This window comes from Homo sapiens, chromosome 14, assembly GCF_000001405.40.
Source record: "Homo sapiens chromosome 14, GRCh38.p14 Primary Assembly".
Taxonomy (NCBI): domain Eukaryota; kingdom Metazoa; phylum Chordata; class Mammalia; order Primates; family Hominidae; genus Homo; species Homo sapiens.
In genome coordinates this window covers 93257676-93281423 of record NC_000014.9, presented here as the reverse complement: position 1 = coordinate 93281423, position 23748 = coordinate 93257676, and the positions used below count along the sequence as shown (strand labels likewise).

At 41.0% G+C, this 23748-nt stretch overlaps 1 protein-coding gene across 6 annotated transcripts in view; it reads left to right on the top strand.

Moving 5' to 3' along the window:
* The window catches only part of BTBD7 (BTB domain containing 7), a 95487-nt gene that overhangs the window by 51613 nt on the left and 20126 nt on the right, over positions 1-23748 (top strand). For 5 of the 6 annotated variants that reach the window (NM_001289133.2, NM_001002860.4, XM_011536939.3 and 2 more), the window contains 2 exons: positions 17431-17639; positions 19747-19822. In NM_001289133.2, coding sequence (NP_001276062.1) covers positions 17431-17639; positions 19747-19822 — 285 coding nt within the window. The remainder of the gene's footprint in view (positions 1-17430; positions 17640-19746; positions 19823-23748) is intronic. The other variant, XM_017021438.2, reaches the window with a different exon arrangement.

The following is a 23748-nucleotide window of genomic DNA, read 5'->3' as shown; positions in this document are numbered from 1 at the left end:
GGCTCATGCCTGTAATCCCAGCAGTTTGGGAGGCTGAGGCGGGTGGATGGCTTGAGTCCAGGAGTTTGAGACCTGCCTAGGCAACACGGTGAAACTCTGCCTCTACAAAAAAAAATACAAAAATTAGGGCACAGCGGCTCATGCCTGTAATCCTAGCATTTTGGGAGGCCAAGGCAGGCAGATCGCTTGAGTCCAGGAGTTTGAGATCAGCATGGATAACATGGTGAAACTCCATCTCTACAAAAAAAAAAAAAAAAGAGCCAGGCATAGTGGTGCACACCTGTGGTCCCAGCTCTTTGGGAGGCTGAAGTGGGAGGATCAAGAGCCCAAGAAGCGCAGATTGCAGTGAGCCAAGGTTGTGCCACTGCACTCCAGCCTGGCTGACAGAGTAAGACCCTGTCTCAAAAACAGAACAAAACAAAAATTAGCTGGGCGTGGTGGTGGGTGCCTATAGTCCCAGCCACTCAGAAGGCTGAGATGGGAGGATTGCTTGAGTCCACCGAGGTCAAGGCTACAGTGAGTTGTGATTCAGCCTGGATGACAGAGTAAGATCTGTTTCAAAAAAAAAAAAAAAGGTGCCTTTTTATAAATAATACCTTCAAAGGACCGAATCTTAGTTCAGAGTATATATATGATGGGACTGCTAAAACACTCGGTGAATATAAACTGTCCAGAAATTGCCTGGCTTCAACCATTTTTTCATATATTTGGTCTCTATTGTAAATTAACATGGGCTGGCCTTACTAAATATGTCTCCACAAGGGGATTACTTGATATATTAAAAGACTTTGAGCTCTGTTACGATTCTTTGCACTAAAACATTTTTATGTATCTCATACTTAGGTATTGGCATGTTTATGTTTATAAAACTTCTGATAAATGTTATACATGTCATGAAATTTAAGGGTGAAATATACATACATCTGAAAGTAGTGCCAAAAAACTGAAAATATATTTGCACACTTAAATGTCTTTGTTTCTAGCGATATTCATCTTCAACCATAATAGCCTTTTCTGAAGTGGTTTGTTTGGTTTTTATATTAGGTTTTCGTTGTCAGTGTTCCTTTCTAATTGACGTTTACATTGTTTACATTAAAGAACAGTGCTGAATTTTGAAACCGATTCAGTAAATTTTCTCTGGAAAGTACATGGGCATTACCTTGTTTTTCTAAATCTTTTGACATCTGAGCTTGTATCTAATTATGAGCAGTCAGAAGTTTTTCTAAGCTAAACTGCATGATTAGTTGTTATTTTTGTGCCTCATCTTAAACCCTAGATTGATAGTTTTTTGTTTATAAGTATGAACAGTAAAATAGTAAGAAGCTAAAGTTTTCTGTGGTGTGAACACCACTTCTAAACTACATTTTGATGTCAAATTTTTAGAGGCAGTAGATTAAATAAAAGTAGATGGATACAGTATTATAGATCTGATCATCACATTAGGTCTATAAACCTGAGAGAACAGCTGCTGTCCTAGTTTTCAAGCAAATAAAGGTAACAATGGGACATTATTGGAGCTAAAAAAGATATAGCCTATCAACTCAAATAAGCCCCTTGGTATAGAATTAGCACCATGATTCCTATACTCATTTAACAAACACTTATTGAGCTCTTACTGTGTGCCAGAACCTGAGATTAAAGTAATGAAAATGATAGTCCATCAGTCTGGCCAACATGGTGAAACCTTGTCTCTACTAAAAATACAAAAATTAGCTGGACGTGGTCATGGGCACCTGTAATCCCAGCTGCTCGGGAGGCTGAGGCAGGAGAATCGCTTGAACCCGGGAGTCGGAGGTTGCAGTGAGCTGGGATCACGCCACTGCACTCCAGCCTGGGCAACAGAGCGAGACTCTGTCTCAACGAAAAAAAGAAGAAAAGGATAGTCCAGTGTTAAGTACCAATAGGCAGTTAGAGTGTGAGTGCCCTAATAGAACACTGGGTGCTGGGGGAGTACCTAGGAGGACGAGAAGCCCCAGACCCCAATATGGAAGGGGAGGGCAGGAGGACATATCAGAAACTTCCCAGACAATGAGACCTGGAGTAGGAGTTAAGCAAAGATTGGAGGTAAAAGCGAGCATATCAGGCAGCAGGAACTGGCCTAGAGATAAATGACAGCTAGGCCTTTTTGGCTGGAGATGCTGGGGTTGCAAAGAGAGGTATGGCAAGAAATGAGGCAACAGAGGCAAACACGGCTATAAGATAAAGAATTCAGTATACTAAACTGAGACAATTGGCTTTATCCTCACTATCATAAATCTTGTGGCCTGATTACATTTGTATTTTCTAAAAGCTCTCTTTGGATGTAGCATGTGAAGACCGTAAGAAATGTTCTAGAAATAGTGAGGGTCTTAAAAGTACATACATTCTGCTGTAAGTAGATGAAATCTGTAAATTTTATATCAAAATTACTAATTCTTTTTAAAAGTTTTATGCTCTGTGTATTCATTTGTTCAGGAGAATTTGTGGGGCACCTGTTCTTTTTCAGGCACTGTGTCAAGCACTTTACTCACGTTGTCCTCTGTGGTAGGTTTTTCCTCCATTTACAGCCAAATGGGGTACCAAAAATTCACCTAAGTGCTGGGATTACATGCCTGAGCCACTATGCGTGGCCAAGACTATTAAAAGGGACAGAAACTTGAAAGATAGGCTTCTATATGGATAAATAGTCATGTACCACATAATGATGTTTCAGTCAACAGCAGACCACATGTACAATGGTGGTCCTATAAGGTTATAAAATACGTACTTCCACTCTACTTTTTTAATGTTTAGATGTGTTTAGATGAACAAATACCATTGCATTACCATGTTACAGCTAGAAAGTGTTAAGGCCAAGATTTGAATCCTGGTCCTTGTGATTCCACAGCTACTCTTCCACAGGTAGGGGGAAGAGGGAATATGATCTCTGAGGAGAAATCATCTGTGAGGTGCACTGTTTTGAAGGGAGCACATGATCATATGTAACCAACCAGAAGATATCAGAAGGTTTTCTGAAAAACTTTTTTTTTATATATGGAGTTTCAGCCTTGTTGCCCAGACTGGAGTGCAGTGGTGCAATCTCAGCTCACTGCAACCTCCGCCTCCTGGGCTCAAGCGATTCTCCTACCTCAGCTTCCCAAGTAGCTGGAATTAGAGGCGTCTGCCACCACGCCTGGCTAATTTTTTGTGTTTTTAATAGAGGTGGGATTTCACCATGTTGGCCAGGCTGGTCTCGAACTCCTGACCTCAAGTGATCCACCCACCTCGGCTTCCCAAAGTGCTGGGATTAGAGGCGTGAGCCACCACGCCTGGCTGAAAAACATAATTACATGGCTGTACCCCAAAAGCTTTGGTTTTTCCCTTCAATGATATTCTTAATTCCATTATAATAATTTACTATTCATCACTAGTGGGGTAATGGTCTAAGGATAGTAAACAAAATACAGGTGTAAATGACTAGCTTTTGTTTTCAGATAAAGAGGTGTGAACCGCTGAATTTTTCACCTGCTGAGTAGGAGGATAGTTTTTATTTAACATTTTGATAAACCTGTGACAGGAAATTATACATTTGGGTTGTCACTGTTTCTGTTCTCATTATAGGTGTTTGACTTGCCCTGCTCTCTTCAGACTACGCTCCCTCCCTTCCCCCTTGCACATCCCGCAAATCCTGTGCTTGCTTTGGTAGTAGAATACATCAGTACAGTGCGTACGCTTATCAGGGAACTTTGATTATAGAAATAGCTGTCATTCATTTAACATTTACCATAAGGTAAGCAATGGACTAAGAGCTGTATGTATATTATTTAATCCTGAAAGTAACCCCCTAGGGTAGACGGTATTATCCACATTTTTCAGATAAGGAAACAGGCAAAGATTTCACACATCACACAGCTAAAGAGAATTGGAATTGGGTTTCTGGTCAGTCCCACTCTAGTGGTATATCCTTTCTGTCTCTTCCAGCAAGATGCCTGCATATAAGAATGTGCTCTATTTCAGAGATTTCAGGCATCCTGTAGGTCCCAGAGTTAGCTCCCCCTGCATTACAGTAGAGGGCTATATGTGGTGTCTTTGTGCAGAGAACTGACATCCCCATGAATGCTTTCCCTTCATTATGCTATTCTCATTACCCCCCATGCTTAAATGTAAACATTTTAAATGCCGTATTAGATAACACTAATTTATGAAGTAAACATTAAAGAAATATCAATCTAGTCAATTGAGTACCTTAAGAATTATTAACCTGAGCCGGGCACAGTGGCTCACACCTGTAATCCCAGCACTTTGGGAGGCCAAGGTGGGCGGATCACCTGAGGTCGGGATTTCAGGACCAGCCTGGCCAACATGGTGAAACCCTGTCTCTACTAAAAATACAAAAATTTTCTGGGTGTGGTGGTGCGTGCCTGTAATCCGAGCTACTCAGGAAGCTGAGATCAGAGAATTGCTTGAACCCGGGAGGCAGAGGTTGCAGTGAGCTGAGATCATGCCACTGCACTCCAGGCTGGGTGACAGAGTGAGATTCCATCTCAAAAAAAAAAAAAAAAAAAAAAAAAAATTAATCTGTGTGTGTGTGTGTCGTGGCTTGAAGAGAAATCGTTCATGAATTGTGTGTATGCTTTAGCTTCCTCTACTAAGTTACTAAAGTTATTCCCTAGAAGTTTTCAGCTGCTTTTCCAGCTTTGTTTGCTTTTGTCTCTCACACAACTTGTCAGAAGCTGTAAGAATAAAGAATATAAACATTGTGTACCTTTTCACACACATGCAGCATCAATCTCAGTGATTGCCTCTTTCCCATTAGAAGGGATTAATGTTCTCCAGGTAGATAGCCTTCTCATTTCCAGTATTCACTTGGTTTTGTAGTCAGTGATTAATTTTTTACAGAGTACTAAGGAAAAGAACTTCTGGCAGCTTCCATAGCCTGGTGGTACTTTTTTTTAATTTAACTTTTAATAGGTAATACATTCACACGGAACAGAATTCAACATGGTATTCTGTAAAGAGTCCCCCACCCTTCCACTTTGTTCCCCAGCCACTCAGTTGCCCTTGACAGAGGCAACCAGTGTTACAGGTTCCTGTGTACCCTTCCAGATAGATAATCCAGAGATTGTCTCAGAACATAACCTAAAATGTATTGTAAGGGAGCATGAAAAGATACTTAGATTGGAAATATAGTATTAGTAATGCCTGACTGGCATTTAGCTCTTGCGGGAAAATCTTGTAAGACTTTTTGAGACAAGGTCTCGCTCTGTTGCCCAGGCTGGAGTGCTGCAGTGGCATGATCACAGCTCACTGCAACCTTGACCTCCCAAGCTCAATCAATTCTCCCACCTCAGCCTCCCAAGTAGCTGGGACTACAGGCATATGCCACCATGCCTGGCTAATTTTTAAATTTGTTTTTAGAGACAGGGTCTCACTGTGTTGCCCAAGCTGGTCTTGGACTCCTGGGCTCAAAAGATCTGCCCCACCTAAGCCTCCCAAAGTGCTGGGACTACAGGCGTGAGCCACCATGCATGGCCAAGACTATTAAAACGGACAGAGACTTGAAAGATACGTTTCTATGTGGATAAATGGTCATGTACCACATAATGATGATTCAGTAAACAGCAGACCACATGTACAACAGTGGTCCTATAAGGTTATGTAATAACGTACTTTCACAGTACCTTTATAATGTTTAGATGTGTTTCAGTGAACAGATACCATTGCATTATAGTTGCCTACAGTATTCAATACAGTGACACACTGTACAGATTCATAGCCTATGAGCAAAAAAATGGCCTTATATACTGTGTACCCTAGGTGTGTAATAGGCCTTAAACCATCTAGGTTTGTGTACGTACACTCTGATGTTCGCACAATGATGAAATTGCCTAACAATGCTTTTCTCAGATGGTATTTCTGTTAAGTGACCACTGTTAAGCAACTTTAAGACTACACTCTGTTATGCCTCTTTACCCAACAGGGACAACCAAATTCCAAATATTAGCTACAAGGGTATAAGAAACAAAACACAGAAAACTACAACTTTAAAAATTTTTTTGCCAAACTATAATGCATCCTTGCCTAAAATACAAATTATATATTCTTCCCACTGTTCAGAGAAGTGGTGAAGTTAGGTGTGTTCTGAGAAAAGAAAGCTGAAGAAGATAAAAGGAATAGGGATACAAAGAGCAAACTGAAGTGATTAGGATTGTCCAGTCTGTCAGAAAGTATATTACTAAGGTGGCCATAAATGTAGTGCAACAAGTAGACCCTAAGATGAACCCTAATCTCCGTTTTCTGGTATTCACACAGTAGTGGGTTATATGTAGGTTCTATCCCTTGCCATTCTCACTCCACCTGAGAATTTAGGTAGCCCCCCACTGTGTACCATAGCCTTTTGTACACCCCTTTGGTAGTACTTACTACATAGAGGTGAGATTGCCTACTTCTTTTTCTACCCTTCTAGAACATTGTTAGCTTCTTGAAATCAAGAGCTGTATTATTTATCATTGTATCCCTCACATGTAGTACAGAGCCTGCACAAAGCTCAATAATTTTTTTAAATGAAAGTCTAGAAAGGTAACCTGGAATCCAGGGCTGAATGACCCATTAGTTTGACCAAAATCTAGAGTGGCAATTAAAAATAACATTACTTCTTTTAGACCAGTGTCAAAACTGTAGATTTTTGTATCTGCTCTTTCTTAGCCTGGGTTCCCTCCAAAAAGTAGAGCCTCGTATAAGGACTTGCAAGCAAAAAGTTTATTTTGGGAAGTTCTACCAGAGAATAGGAGTGGGTAACTGATGAGTGAAATGGAATGAGAACAAGCCAATACAAGCATGTGTTCTGAGCTGATCACTGCTGTGGTCAATCAGGCATAATCCTACTGGAACTCACTGATGAGCCACATGGAATGTACTTCAGGATTGTCTTCCAGAGGGAAGAAAGAGGGGACATTTACCTACCACCTTCCATCCCTCCATTGGAAAAGTGTTTCCAATAGGGTGTTCACTCCCTTGCATCTCATGGTTTGCATATGGACAGGTGCCTAGCAGATTTCCAGAGGTGCTGACTCCAAGGGTCACAATTTTCACAGCAGACAACAAAAGATACAAAGGTACTGCTGAGGCAGGGTGCTGTAACTGGGCTGCTGTGGTGAAAGGCAGAGAGGTTGTGCAGTGGGCGCAAGAGTTGCTGAATTTAGTCTACTTCTTGCATCACTCAGATCAGTTTGTGTGCTCCATCATCACGGAATCTTCAAGATGGTGGCCAGCCACACCTCTACAAAAGACTCAATCATGGAAGAGATTGAAACTAGATTTTCATCATTCTTTGCCAATACTTCAGCAGGCCTAGGCAGCCTACTAGGTGTGAGCCAGACCTTCATCCCAGAGGTATTTGAGCTCTTAGTTTCTTTATTAGTAGTTGCTACAATCACTAGGTCTCTGTTATCCCTCAGCAAAGAAGCACCAGAAGATGCTGCAGTGAATCCCCTGGGTTCTGAATGAACTGCTGTTGTATAGCCACAGACCTTGCACCTCATCCAACACAGGATCCACTTGTACGAGTGTACCTTCAGGACCTGCCAGTGCATATAGCCAGGTCTTACCATTCTTTAGGTGCCTACACTCTTTCCTCCCAGAACAGGGACTGTATTTTCCCAATCAGACTGTGCTGGGAACATGATCCTCATTATTGGTTTGGAGGTAGTGAGAGAAGGCAGGAACTGATCTTAAAGAGAACAAGCATTATCTTTTCAGGCACCTGCAGGGTCTCCAGATGAAGGAGGCTGCTGCTCTCTAGCAAGGAGTTGGGGGAGCTGCTTCTCCTAGCCCAAAAAATTCAGGTAAATCTTGGGGTTTAATATTCTCAGCTAAGCCAACCAAATATCCCCATTCCAGGTTTCTGTGTCCAAGTGTTCCTACCAGGACCCAGATTTTATCATAGAACACCTGTCAAGGCTTTCTTTCATATCTCCTTTGTAGTTCTGATATCTTTTAAATTAAGTCTGGAGCCTGAATTTTGGCAATCTGCCCCGCAGCTGCAAGAAATAGGGTCTTTTCAGACACTGACCTGGAAGTCTTCAGACTTTGAAGAATGCCTAGATTTAAGGGTTGGCTAACCTGAGCCTGTCATTCTGTTTGTTCATGGCCTCTAAAGTTGTTAATCCAGCCAGTATCTAGGCCTTATAGTCACTAATGTTTCCATTCCATTCAAGTGCCACCATGATTGGTGATCTGATACTTTACCTTCCACATGTACCTCATTTTAATCTGCTCCTGGTGTTGTCATGCTACTATGTGCAGGGGTTATCACCATGTCTCCTACCAGTAGGAATGGGAGGGGGAGACCTTTTGCCATTTGGTCAGTGAGTAAGGTAGATCTAGAATCTCATTCAAGAACCTTGTTTTCTAGGGCCATTTCTGTTATCTTTGCTGGGTGTCTCCTCCCATTCCCCACAGTGCATGCCGAAAGCACAGCCCAGATCAAAGGCTGACATGCAGGTCATTTAGTCAGTAAGTATCCCATGAGCAGGAGTGAGGGGGAGCAGTACAAGAGTGTGTCATTGAGCTGATCACCACTGCAGACACCTGGGCTTAGGCTCTTCATCAGAATTGTCCTCCTGAGAAATAGTAGAGAGGAGCATTCATCCAAGCAGCTCTCAGAGTCACAGCATCTAAGGACCGACAGTGCAGAACACTGAGGCGCAGGTTGACTTGTCTTCTCGCCCTTATATCTGACACTCAGTTTTTGCTTTGGATCCGGAATTCCTGGTTGCCTTTTAAAAATAGATTTGTAGGTGTGATGTGATGGTAGTGCTGTTTTAGAAAACTTAAACCTTTCAATAGTGTGCTCTGTATGCATTGGAATCCTGGGTGGAGGGAGACAGTAGGAAGCTTTTCAGTAATTGGTATATGAGATGCTAAGGATTTGAACTAAGGTGGTATTCTAGTGGGAATGGAAGAGAGGCTAATTGAAGGGTGTTCTGAAGGACAAATCTGTAGGACACATTGGTTAGATATTGAGGTCAAAGGAGGGCAGAAAGGCAGAGTAGAAATTAAAGATTTATAGGGTACTGTGTAGACACATTTCTCCCCAATTTCCAGTGTAATCCTCAGAACTTCAGATTCTTTCAGCTGACATGAGAAAATAAGACTCACAGGATGTAGGTTTGTTTTTGTGTTTTTGAGACAGTCTCGTTCTGTTGCCCAGGCTGGAGTGCAGTGGTGCAATCTTGGCTCACTGCAATCTCTACCTCCCGGGTTCAAGCGATTCTCCTGCCTCAACCTCCTGAGGTCCCGAGTAGATTTTTAGTACAGATGGGGTTTCACCATGTTGGTCAGGCTGGTCTCAAACTCCTGACCTGGTGATCCGCCCACCTCGGCCTCCCAAAGTGCTGGGATTACAGGCATGAGCCACTGCGCCCGCCCACAGGATGTAGTTTTTGTTTGTTTTGTCTTTTTAAGACAGGGTCTCATCTGTCATTCAAGCTGGAGTACAATGGCATCTCTTGGCTCACTGCAACCTCTACCTCCCAGGTTCAAGCGGTCTTCCCACGTCAGCCTCCTGAGTGCTTGGGACTACAGGCATGCACCATTATACCCACCTAATTTTTGTATTTTTTGTAGAGACAAGGTTTCACCATATTGCCCAGGCTGGTCTCAAAACTCCTGAGCCCAAACGATCCGCCCGTCTTGGCCTCCCAAAGTGCTGGGATTACCGGTGTGAGCCATCACACCTGGACAGGATGTGTTTTAATCTGGTACAGGCTGAGTGAGGGTCAAGAATTAGTGATGCAGCTGCCTGAATTTAAAACCTATGGTCTTTCACTTCCTGCCACACTCACTTCCATTATTTCTTAATTTCTTTTCTCAGGATTCTGAATCAGTCATGTACTGGTTAGTAAGAAAGAATTGAAGCAACTTTTCTCTCGAGCCTGTTTGTACTTCAATTCTTATTTCTAACTCTGGTGCCTCTGAAGAATCACCATGCCAAGTCTAAGGCCGGCCCTCCTCTAAACTTACGATCTTGTTTTATGTTGCATGGCAAGCTGTAATCTCCCTGTTCCTTTTTCCTTTCCCCCTTGCCTGTTTCCTCCTTCCTCTTTCCACCCCGACCTCAATATGAATCTGGAAGTCGTTTATATATTTCCTGATGGACATGAGCCAGCGGAAAAGTTTCCCACTGGTATTGGTGAAACAAATAGGGTGGCATTGTAGGAATAACAAGTAAGGGGGAAACAAAGATCCTGACAGTGTATTCAGGAGAACTGTCAACGTTGAGGCTATTTTTAGTTACCAGAGGGACAAACATGAAGAGGAGAAACAAAAATTGATAATAAAAACAGAAAGTGATCCTATTTAACATGCAGCAATACAGTCATTTGTGTTACTGAATTTCAGATTGATTTGTTAGCTCTTTAAGTCTAAACCTTCAGCCTTGGTCATTCATTCCTACTGGTTATGTGACTCAATTTTTTGAGGGAAGGTATTTTTGCTTACATTAAAGATTAGAAAGAAAATATCCTAGTAAAAGAGAATAGAGGAAAGGATTAAATAAGTAGGAGATGGATCTGTAAAGTGTGGTTATCACACAAGCAAAAGAAATTGTAAGAAGTTGACTTTGTACTACCTGCCAGCCTCCCAAGAGCATCACTGAAAGTCTGCCTGAGCGGAATGTATTGGTGCCTTTTATCCATTAAATGCCTTGGCTACAGGTGGAATTTTTCTGTTACCAGGAAATTGTTAATAAAAGCTTTTTTTTTTTTTTTTGAGACAAGAGTCTCGCTCTGTTGCCCAGGCTGGAGTACAGTGGCACAACCTCGGCTCACTGCAACCTCTGCCTCCTGGATTCAAGTGATTATCCTGCCTCAGCCTCCTGAGTAGCTGGGACTCTACAGACACATGCCACCACACCCAGCTAATTCTTGTATTTTTAGTAGAGACTGGGTTTCGCCATGTTGGCTAGGCTTGTCTCGAACTCCTGACCTCGGGTAATCTACCTGCCTCAGCCTCTTAAAGTGTGGGATTACAGATGCCCACCACCACGCTTGGCTGTTAATAAAAGCTTTTGGCCAGGCGCAGTGGCTCACGCCTGTAATCCCAGCACTTTGGGAGGCTGAGGCGGGTGGATCACCTGAGGTCAGGAGTTCAAGACTAGCCTGGCCAACATGGCAAAATCCCGTCTCTACTAAAAATAGAAAAGTTAGCCGGGTGTTGTGGCAGGCGCCTGTAATCCCAGCTACTCAGGAGGCTGAGGCAGTAGAATTGCTTGAACCCGGATAGCTGAGGTTGCAGTGAGCTGAGATCACGCCACTGCACTCCAGTCTGGCAACAAGAGTGAAACTCCATCTCAAAAAAATAAAAATAAAAGCTTTTGAGTTGATCTAAAAAGCTAACTGGTTTATTAGTCAACCGTTGCTGTGTAAGAAACAATCTGAGAACCTCAGTGGTATAACACAATGAACATTTATTTCTAATAAGTTTCTGGGTTAGGTGGGGCATTTCTGCTTCAGTTTGCAGCAGCTGGGGCCTCTCTCATTGCCACTGTGGATCAGCAGGGGTGGCTGTGTTCCCAGGGCTGCCCATTCTCCTCCTGGGACCAATAAGCTAGTCACAGCATACTTTTCACGTGGTAGGAGGGAAGAAGGCAAGCCCAGTTCCCTAAAGAGGAAAGGGACTCTAGACAGAGCAGTACTATTCAAAGCATGTCTGCAGTGAGTGAGATAGGTACAGAAATTAACAACAAGCATTTAGAAACTAAACAATTGCCACAATATTCAAGCGGTGTTTTTGCTGAATTTTACTAAAGTATTGGTCCAGGACACGTTGGAAATTTAAAAAGAAAGAAAAAACTGTAGCATGACTCGCGATAGTTTGCAAAGTGCCGAGAGAGAACACATGACATTCTGCTCACTAGAACTGACTCCCTGTACTGCCCATGAGTAAGCATTCTGATCTACGCATGTGTCATGGGTTTGTGTTAGGATCACTTTGTCACCAAGAGTCTGACCATCTTTGAGTGTGCTGATGGTTTCGTACCTACAGGACTTGTCCATTACCAAGGATGTGGCACCGTGTAAAGCCTCTCAGCACCCACTTGTTGGCCTTTCCCTGCCAGCATCCCTTCTGCCTTGCTGCTATATTTACATTTTCATTCCAATATTGATAACCTTGACAAAGTTGTATTATCATTAATTGAAATCCTTTACCATCAGATTAAAACATTAATTTTGACATTATAAGATAAATCTCTTTTTACCAACATTCCAGTTTTTTATCTGTCTTCCTTTTACATTTTTGAGTTAATATCACCATGTTTGGTGTATTTATAAGGTGCTTTCTGCTCGTGAGAGAAGTAGTTCTAAATAAGTTCTAATGAGCATTGATTAGTAAAAGTCCTAAGTTAGAGCTGGGTGCAGTGGCTTACACCTGTAATCCTAGCACTTTGGGTGGCCGAGGCGGGCGGATCACCTGAGATCAAGAGTTCAAGACCAGCCTGGCCAACATGGTGAAACCCCGTCTCTACTAAAATATAAAAAATTAGCCGGGCATGATGGTGGGTGCCTGTAATCCCAGCTACTCAGGAGGCTGAGACGGGAGAATCCCTTGAACCCAGGAGGTGGTGGTTGTAGTGAGCTGAGATCGTGCTGCTGCACTCCAGCCTGGGCGGCTGAGCAAAATCTGTCTCAAAAAAAAAAAAAAAAAAAAAGGTCTAAGTTAGAGGCATAAAAGGCTGGGAAGGGGAACTTTTGGGAGGGGAAGGAAGGATATGTTTAGGTAGGACTTGTTTCTTCCTAGATGTATAACCTTGGGTAACTTATTTAATCTTTCTGAGTCTTAGTTTTCTCATCTATAAAATGGGGATGATAATAATAGTAATAATAATACACCCTTCTTTGAGAAGAAGTGCTAAAATTAAATATTCTAAAGTAAGCAGTTAACACAGAGCCTGATACATATACATAATAAGTTTTCAAGAATGTTAGCTACTATTATTATTTGCTTTTAGTTAATTATCTACTAGGTGCCAGACACTATAGAATCAGATAAGATGGGGCTTTTACCGAAAAGGAACTTAGTCTGGTGGAAGAGTCAGACAAATATATATAAGAAAGATATAGTAGTATGAGAGTTTTGTGCTGTTACAGACAAACACAGGGTACCAGAGAAACTTTTAGATAGGAGGAACACCTGACCTAAGGCTTTGAGGAGCAGTATCAAAGTAGGCTCTTAAAAGAGGCAGCATCTAAGCTGAGACTTAAAGATGCAGAGGAGTTAAGAAAAAGAGTTAGGGGCATTTCAGAAAAATGGAACAACATACACAAAAGCCTGGAGGTGCAAGCGATTGGTGGACTTCTGGGGAATTGGAAGGGACACAGTATGACGGGTGTAGAGTCTGCGCAGGGATGGGCTGGGGAGTAGGCAGGTGCCAGATCATCAAGGGAGATGTAGCTTGGACTTTTTCTTGAAATCATTTGTAGCATGAAGTTATTGAATAATTCGTTAAAGAGGCCATATATAATTTACATTTTAAAAGATCATTCTGGCAACAGTACAGAGAGCAGATTAGAAAGGGAAAGACTGGAGGTGGGAATTTTTTAAAAGCCATTTCAATAATGCAGGGGAAAAGTATCAGGTTCTGAAAAGGAGGTGGTAAAAATTCAATGGAGATTCTGTGGAGGGGTTGAATTGAAAAGAAGAATGAACAGCATCTGGTGATAGATTGGATATGGGCATCCGGAGAAGAACCCAATAATAGTACTGAGATCTCTGCCTTTGGTGACTGAAGAGGCCCAGATTTCCCAGAGGAAATGAATTGACTTTGGCATTTAAGATGTCTGTGGAAAATCCATGTGAAAGTCAGGTGTGACTGGGAGTCAGCTCAGGCTTGGAGCTATCAGCTGGGAAGTCAGGGATATAATGAGGTGAAGGCCGTGGGGCAAGTGACATCACCAGGCAGTGAAAAGAGCTGGATATTCATGGTACTCGGCTTAGGTACTCCAGACTGTTTGAGCAAATGTAGAGTGTCAAGAGTATGGTCTCATTTAAATCCCATAACAACCCTGTGAGGTAGGAAATAATCTCAGCTTTGCAGATGAGAACATTTCAGACTCTTAAAGAGTGAAGTGATTTGCCTAAAGTGATTTTGCTACTGAGTGGCAGCGCTAGGATTTCAAGTCCAATCTGATTTTAAAGCCCATTTTTTTTCCTACTGTATCCTGCTGCTTTGTAAACCTCAGCAGTTTAAATATTTGTGATCATGTTATCTTTCATTCTTTTTCTTCACCTCTGCCAGTATCCTGGTTTAGTAGGATTGTGACACATCATTTTAAATAACCAGCTTTTCTCTCATTTCCCCTGCTTCACTCCCAAACACATCTATGAGATTGCCTTTCCTATCAGATTAACTCATCCCACTCAATTCTATTCCAATGCCCACTTTAAAACAACAGGCCAACAGAGGTCCTCCACTGGCTACTGAATGAGGTCTGTCCTCCTCAGCTTGGTATTCAAGGCTCAAAGGCTCGTCATAAAATGACGACTGTTGAAAACTTTCCCATATTTCCCACTTCTCATTAGCACATCTTCACGCCTTTGGGTGTCATCTATATGTGGATATAAATGTGGTGGTCTCATTGTGTTCCTTATAGGGATATTCTTTTAGTGCTTGGAATAAAGACATCTTTTATTTGCTCTGTTACCATCTTATAGAAACGGTTTTGTCTTTGTGATGAAATCAGCTTGGATGTCTTCTGACCTTAGTTCCTTTCCAGTGTCAGGGTTCCTTATACTCCATCCCTAATGTGACGAGCCAGCCTCTGTTCTGACACTTTCTAGAAGGATCCTTTTTTTAATGGGAGAAGAGGATGGAAATTCTAATTGTTAGAAATTTCTTATCATTGAACCAAAATCTCCCCACTTTTAACATCTGTCTGTTTCCTAGGAACAACGGATAAATCAGTTATTTCTCCTCTGCCTCGTGAAGAGGCATTTAAAGACAGCTCTCATGTCTCTCCTCAGGTTTCTCTTACATAACCCAAATCATCTCTTGCTTGGAGCTTTTTTCCTGTGATAAGTTGCGAACTCTCTACTATTCCCTTGCCCTCCTGAGACTCTTGCAGTTTGGTCAGTGCTAATCTAAACTGACCCACGGGGCCCAGAATGACACAGCACTCCACAGAAAGCAGCAACATGAGTCCTTTGATTACGGCTCAATGCTCGTACCTGAAAAGCCTGAGATTGCTTCAGATCTATAACAGCCATGTCACATTTTGCATTCATTCAGTGAAAAAAAAAAACCCAGATATTTTATATAGTTCCAGTTAAGCCAACCATCATCTGCTGTGCAGTCGATTTCTTTAAATGTAGAACTAATTCTCCTAGTTATATTTCAGCTTCATTTTGATCAGTCTTTTTAGGCAATTATGATTCTGCTATGCAGTGTGGTGTTAACTGTGTTTCCAAGTTTGGGGTCATCTGAAGATTTTGAAACATACTTTCCACATCATTATCCAAGATTTTTGTTTGTTTGTTTGTTTGTTTCGAGACAGAGTCTCACTCTGTAGCCCAGGCTGGAGTGCAGTGGTGCGATCTCAGCTCACTGCAGCCTCCACTTCCCGGGTTCAAGCAATTCTCCTGCCTCAGCCTCCTGAGTAGCTGGGATTACAGGCACTTGCCGCCACACCCAGCTGATTTTTGTATTTTTAGTAGAGATGGGATTTCACCATGTTGGCCAAGCTGGTCTCGAACTCCTGACCTCAGGTGATCCACCTGCCTCAGCCTCCCAAAGTGCTGGGATTACAGGCGTGCGCCGCCGCACCCGGCCCCAAATTCTTGATAAACATGGCAAAAACCAACTTCCCACTCCACGCATCAAGTTAATCAGTGCTGTTTATGAATGGTTCTGTTAACCACTGTCCTGTCATCCCATCCCCTGTCTCTTCATGTTATCTGCAAAGATCTCATTTGTACATTCAACACATTTTTACTTAGCACAGGTTTAGCACATGTGCGAGAAGGTGCTAGGAATACATTGAAGATAGCCGTCCCTATCTTGTGGTGCTTACAGTTTAGCAGCATCATGAAATATTTTCTAAATGCTTTGTGGAAATGAAGTTATACGGTTCTCTATGATATTTCTCCTCATCTGGTAGCGTATCAGAAAGGGGAATGAGGGTTTACTTTTTGTAGACTCCATATTGCTACTCATTATCTTCTATCACTTGAAAGTGGGATTCACTCCCTTTATCTTTACACCTTTCATGGTTTCACAAACAGCTTTGAACTTTAGAAGTCTCTGGAGTTTATTTACGCCCTTTCTGTGTAGCCATAGTTTGGTAGTGTTTATTTTATTTTATTTTATTTGAGACGGAGTCTTGCTTTGTCGCCCAGGCTGGAGTGTAGTGACACGATTTCAGACATAATTTCAGCTCACTGCAACCTCCGCCTCTCGAGTTCAAGTGATTCTCCTGCCTTAGCCTCCCGAGTAGCTGGGATTACAGGACGCCCAGCTAATTTTTGTATTTTTAGTAGAGACTGGGTTTCACCATGTTGGCCAGACTGGTCTTAACTCCTGACCTTAGGTGATCTGCCCGCCTTGGACTCCCAGAGTGCTGGGATTACAAGCAAGAGCCACTGTGTCCGGCCTGGTGGTGGTGTTTAAACACCTGTTTGTTTGTTTGTTTGTTTTCACATTATCAGGATTGTTTTTTGTTTTATAGTAAGCTTAATGAAAAATTTCTGTTCAACTTTAGCCATTCTCACTCCCATAATCTTTGTCACTCAGATTTTTACTTATATTTTATCTTTATATTTTGAAATGATCTTTCCTAAGGAGGAGAGTTGAGTCTCCTTAGGTTTTCTTTTCTTCCTTGAGTTCTTGAAATGCCATAGTTGCTTTCTCCAGGATCCTGGTCCTCTTCACTTACTTTTTCAAGTTTGCCAGAATTAAGCTCAGATGTATTTTGTCTATTTTCTGAAGGATTAAACTGTCAACAATGCAAGGTGCTATGTTTTCATACAAAGAGTGGATGTCTGCATAGCTGGCAGCCCACCTACCTTATTCTGAGGTGTGCATTCTCTCATCAGTCAGGTGTCATCCACTTCCTTCCTCTAGCCAGTTTCCACCACTGCAGCCTTTTTGCCTACTCTTCTTTCCCTTTTGGTCCAATGTCTTCCTCTATACTGACTTACTCACATTATTGGTTTGCACATAGATGTTTATTATCTTGAACTTGGGAGGATTCTCTGCCTTTTTCTGTAGATCCATCTCTGTAAGGCAGCAGATTTTCTATAGATGCCATAGTCTATTGTTTACCCATCCCACCAAGTCTTGGTGATTTTCATGAGATTTTATTTATCTCCTTGAGTTCTTTTTTGCTATTGTGACTTTTAAATATCGTGCCTAGCACACTAATGTTCAATAAGTAATATTTATGATTAATCTCAAGAAGTATTTGCCTTCTCTTTTAGGCTGTGAGGATATCATTGCTGAGAGCATCTCATTAGATACCTTAATTGCCATCCTCAAGTGGAGTTCTCATCCATATGGCTCTAAATGGGTGCACCGACAAGCTTTACATTTCCTCTGTGAGGAATTTTCCCAGGTCATGACTTCGGATGTTTTTTATGAACTCAGCAAAGACCATCTGCTTACTGCTATCCAGTCTGACTACCTACAGGTAATCATTTAAACACCTCTCAAACTCTGTCATTCATATGTGCGCCAAGAAACCCATCTATGCTCTATTACTCTTCCATCTAGGGTAGGGCAGGGGAAGAGAAACAGGCTGTGATCAAACCACCCAGGACTGCCCTCTTCATAGTTGTACAACAAAAGCCTTCTGGCTCACTGGCTCTTCATGTACACTGCTACCATGACTCAACATTGAACAAGCCCAGGTCCCAGCCAAATGCACCAAAAAGAGATTGGGGCAGTAGGCAAGGTCAGAAGCACATCCCAACATGATTTTCTTGACTTCTATTAATGTAGCTTCTCTATAGTGGTTTCTTACTTTTGGTGGAGCATCACATACTTAGATTGTAAGACAGTAGCTTCAGCAGCACAAAGTAAAAATAATATTCAATTTCTGATCTGCTCACATTTTTATCAAAACTCAGTGCATGTATTCTTCCAAAGTACGGTAATGTTTTCAACTACTTATTTTTAACCAGAAGTAGTTTTTAGCAAATTCTTGTGTTCTTGACTTAAATGTCAATTTAATTTGGAAATTTACATTAATAATAGATTTTATACATTACAGAAAATACTTACAGGCAAAGTATATCCAAGCTTAATTTTTGTGCATTGGCTATATGAATTTTATGCTAAAAACTGTACAACCGTTTTAATGCTATTAAAGACATAAACCCATTGAACCACTTCCTATTTCTTTGTATTTGTACTAGAAAAATAATAAAATGCTACCATTTTAGTCAGAAATGCAGTGGAGAGTTAAATAATACACTCAGCATCTGTGCTTTTCCTTTGTATGTTGCTTTGATTGCAGTACAGATGGCATACTTGGGCTTGATTTATGGAGAATCTTTGTTCATTAACCTTGTCTCATTGTCCTGATCAAAACTGGACGCTTTATGTTTGTGTTAGAAGTTGTTAGTTCTCTTAGATTATTGTCTTTAGGAGCTTTGCATTCCTTCTTAGAAAGTATTAAAAAAAAAAAAAACAGAGAGCAGCCTAGATTTGCTCTAAGATTTTAAATAAAATACAAAGAAATGAGGGCTACATTGCCATTTCACAGATTGTGCTTCACTAACCAGTAGAATACCTTGTAGAGATTGTAGTTTCTTCTGCCAAAACAAGTTGACTGACTTGTTTTTCCTGTCCCTCCAGGAGAGAGTAGTTACTCTGCCTATACCCTATACTTACACTTTCATTTACTTATCTCTGTTTTCTTCCAAAAGAGAATTTAAGGCAGCTATATAGAAACCACATAGTAAGATAAAATAAATTTAAAATAGGAAGTGGGTTGCTTGAGCCCGGAAGTACGAGACCAGCCTTGGCAACAGGTGGGACCCCATTTGTACAAAAAATTTAAAAAAAAATTAGCCATTTTGGGAGGCCAAGGCAGGCGGATCACGAGGTCAGGAGATCGAGACCATCCTGACTAACAAGGTAAAACCCTGTCTCTACTAAAAATACAAAAAAATTAGCCAGGCGTGGTGGCGGGCGCCTGTAGTCCCAGCTACTTGGGAGACTGAGGCAGGAGAATGGCGTGAACCTGGGAGGAGGAGCTTGCAGTGAGTCAAGATCACACCACTGCACTCCAGCCTGGGCAACAGCGCGAGACTCCCTCTCAAAAAAAAAAAAAAAAATTAGCTGGGTGTGGTAGCACATACCTGTAGTCCCAGCTGCTCAGGAGGCTGAAGCGGGGAGAATCACTTGAGCCCAGGAGGTTGAGGCTGCAGAGACCCATGATGGCACTGCTGCACTCCAGCCTGGGCAATAGAGTACGACTTCATCTCAAAAGGAAAAATTAAAATGAAAAAATAAAATAGGAAGGGAGCAGATTACAGAAAAAGAAGATAGAAATGAAATTTAAAAATTAGTTGGAGCCAAGATTGAGGTTACTGGATAAAATATATGTAATGCAGTCTTGTATATTTCCTGTTGATGGACCACAGATTTAACACTAAAACTTCAAACAGCCAATGGAAAGAGTGAAACATGGTAAGTTGCATGCTGTTATTTCCCACCTACGAAAAGTCCTTAATGAAATTAACCACTTATCTAATTTCACTAAAATAAATATAAACCATTTTTTATTATAGGCAAGTGAACAAGATATCCTTAAATATCTGATTAAATGGGGAGAGCATCAGTTGATGAAAAGAATAGCAGATAGAGGTAAGCTCCGAAAATTAGCTTGCACTAGTTACCTTGTGTAAAATTTGGTGGTTCTTATATAGAAATGCATGCCGCACATCAGTCTTGAAAATTGACACTGTTGCCTGGTGAAAATGGAAGTTTTTACCACCAGCAAAATCCTTTAGTGGACAGGGTATAGTTTATTAAAATAAATATATCAGAAAGTCTTATTTTGCAGCTTTAAAAGGATACTTTTTATTATTATGTTCTTAGGTGCTTAATAAAACATGACTGATTCGTGGAAGTACTAGAATGAAAAATTTCATATAATTTCATATAATGACTAAAGTATTACAAAAGCATAATGTTGATGAAAATTTGGAATTAGTGTTGATGGTTGCACAACAATACAAGTATAGTAAGAGCCACTGAATGGTACGCTTTAAAATGTTTTAAATAAATTTTGTGTTATGTGAATTTTAACCTCAGTTTAAAAATACGAGTACAGGCTGACCTGAGGTCAGGAGTTTGAGACCAGCCTGGCCAACATGGCAGAATCCCGCCTCTACTAAAAATACAAAAATTAGTGGGAAGTCGTGGCACGCGCCTGTACTCCCAGCTACTCGGGAGACTGAGGCATGAGAATCACTTGAACCTGGGAGGCAGAGGTTGCAGTGAGCTGAGATTGCACTATTGCACTCCACATGGGTGAAAGAGCAAGACTCAAAAAAAAAAAGAGTACAAATAAAAAAGCATTCATTGTTTATTTTTAAATGTTGTAGAAAGTAGGCTGGGTGCAGTGGCTCACGCCTGTAATCCCAGCACTTTGGGAGGCCGAGGCGGGCGGATCACCTGAGGTTGGAAGTTCGAGACCAGCCTGACCAACATGGAGAAACCCTGTCTCTACTAAAAATAAAAAATAAGCTGGGCATGGTGGCATGTGCCTGTAATCCCTGCCACCTGGGAAGCTGAGGCAGGAGAATCACTTGAACCCGGGAGGCAGAGGTTGTGGTGAGCCGAGATGGGGCCATTGCATTCCAGCCTGGGGCAACAAGAGCAAAACTTCGTCTCAAAAAAAAAAAAAAAATGTTGTGGAAGGTAAAAGAGAAATAAATAATACTTCTGAATGACCTCCCAGTGGGGTCACTGCAGAAGAGAAGGAAGCATCATATGTTGGAGGCTGGGCTTTCAACTTTGGAAATTTGTGATTCTACAGCAGTCTTTTGTTTGTGTGTAGGGTTAGCCCACCCACCTGTCCTCCTTCCCTCAAACATCGTTGTATTCCTTTATGTACTGAATCTAAATTTAAAATTTTTAATTGAAAAATTAAATACCAATTTCCTTTTTCTGTCACCTTTCGATAGTTTTATTTAGATATAATTTATGTATCTTAAAGTTCACCGGTTTGAAGTGTTCAAGTCAGTGGATTTTAGTACCTTTATAGAGTTGTTTTGTCACATTTTTAAATATAAAAAATGTTGTGCTAAACCTGCCTTTAAGCCTTTTTATAGTGTTTCTTTAATATGCTACTATCCAAGCTCTAGGGAACAAAAGCAGTCCTTCTATTTTATTTCTCCAATTTTTTTTCTGTGGCTGGCAAAAACCTTTAGCAATTCTCAGATTTGAATGTGTTTATTTTTATTTTTAAAATTTTATTTCAGAGAGCAACAAAGTTATGATTTTTGTTTTTGATTTATTTTTTTATTTGAGATGGAGTCTTGCTGTGTTTCCCAGGCTGGAGTACAGTGGCGCGATCTCAGCTCGCTGCAACCTCTGCCTCCCGGGTTCAAGCTATTCTCCTGCCTCAGCTTCCCGAGTAGCTGGGATTACAGGCACGTGCCACCACGCGTGGCTAATTTTTGTATTTTTAGTAGACACAGGGTTTCGCCATGTTAGCCAGGCTGTTCTCGAACTCCTGACCTCAGATGATCCACCATGCCCAGCAAGTTATGAATTTTTTAAAATATGAAAACCATTACAGTTGATTTAGAAAGTTTTTTAAATGCCAGCATACAATTAGTTCTCATTCGTAGCTTTTATATTTGTCAACTTACCTAGTCACTGAAATTTATTTGTAACCCCAAAATCAATACTGGTGATACTTTCATGGTCATTCACGGAGTAGCAAAAAGCTTGGTCTCCCAACAAGCACATTCCCAGCTGAGTTCTAACAAGACAGAGGCACTCTGCCTTCTTGTTTCAGATCTCCTTACCAAGTGCCACATTTTTTACATTTTTATGTTTTCGTGATCTCACTGTTCAAGATGGCCCCCAGGTGTAGTACTGAAGTGCTGTCTAGTGTTCCTGAGAACAGGAAGGCTGTGGTGTGCCATACAGAGATAATACATGAGTTAGGTAAGCTTCATTCAGGCGTGAGTTACAGTGCTGTTGGTTGTGAGGTTAGTGTTAATAAATCAGCCACATATATTAAATAAAGTGTCTTTAAACAGAAACACATAAAACAAGGTTCTGTCTTAATCATTGGACAAAAATGTTGTACCCAGAGGTTCACAGGAACCTAACCCTGTGTTTTCCCTATGAGCAACAGTTCAGTATATGCTGATTCATTGTTTGTGTTGACTTTATAACTACTTCAGATAATAAGAACCGATTGTATATAACTCTGTGTAAATGTTATAGACCATAAGCTTGTTCAGTGATGTAAAGTTGGTAATGATGAAATGTCATTTATTTGGGGCAGATAACAGGCATCTGCCTGTTAAGGGTTAAAATTTTCCTTAGAAAAATAGTTGCTAGGCCAGGCACGGTGGCTCACGCCTGTAATCCCAGCACTTTGGAAGGCCAAGGTGAGTGGATCACCTGAGGTCAGGAGTTTGAGACCAGCCTGGCCAACATGGTGAAACCCCATCTCTACTAAAAATAGAAAAATTAGCTGCGTGTGGTGGCGGGTGCCTATAATCCCAGCTACTTGGGAGGCTGAGGCAGGAGAATCGCTTGAACCCAGGAGGTGGAGGTTGCAGTGAGCCAAGATCATGCCACTGCACTCTAGCCTGGGCAACACAGCAAGACTCCATCTTAAAAAATAATAATAAAAAAATAAATAAAAGGTAGTTTCCACACTGGGTTAGTGGAAGGTTCTTCTGCAAGGATAAGAAGGAAGCTAAGTGAACCAGGCCATAGCTTTGTTTCAGTCAGTTTTATACAGGAGGATTCTGCACTTACCTGTCACATATTTGGGGGTTTCATGTAAGATTTTATATGAAAACAGGATGTCACTACTTTAAGAAAAAAAAATATTTTGAAAAGCAGAATGCCTTAAATAAGTATGAAGCTAAATCATAGCTAGGCAAGGGGGAAAAAAATGACTCTTTTCTACACAGTTAACAATTTTATTCTGAATGAATCCAGAAAAAAACTTAGCTTCTCAAAAACAATCAATTCTCTCTCTCTCTCTCTCATACACACACACACACACACACGATTTAAGGAAGATACCAGTTTTCCTGTAGAATATTTGAAAAAAATCCAGCATTTCATGAATAATAAGATCTTATTCTGTGTTAATTTTTTTAAGAAAAAAATTACAGACCCCTAGATTAAAGCCATGATTAAAGATTTCCAAATTACATAATTTTTCTTCCCACCTCAATAGCATAAGCATACATGTATTTCAGATTGTTGTTCACTAATGCCCAATGAAGAAATCATTCTCTGCCTTGGATGATGGACATATATTACATGTCAAAGATCAAAGGGTCTACTTTTATGCAGTAATGTTCCCATATTATGGAAATTTGGGAGATTTTCATAAAAATCTTAAAACCAAATAAAGCACATTATGCTTTGCTGCTTCAAACACCAAGTGATTAACATGTTGTTAAATTACTGTTACACATATGTAGGCTAATGAGCATACTGATAACTTACAGTGACCAGAAATGGCATATGCTCTACAATGACCTTATACTACTAAACACTGGTCACAAAAGTGAGAAGGCTTTTTA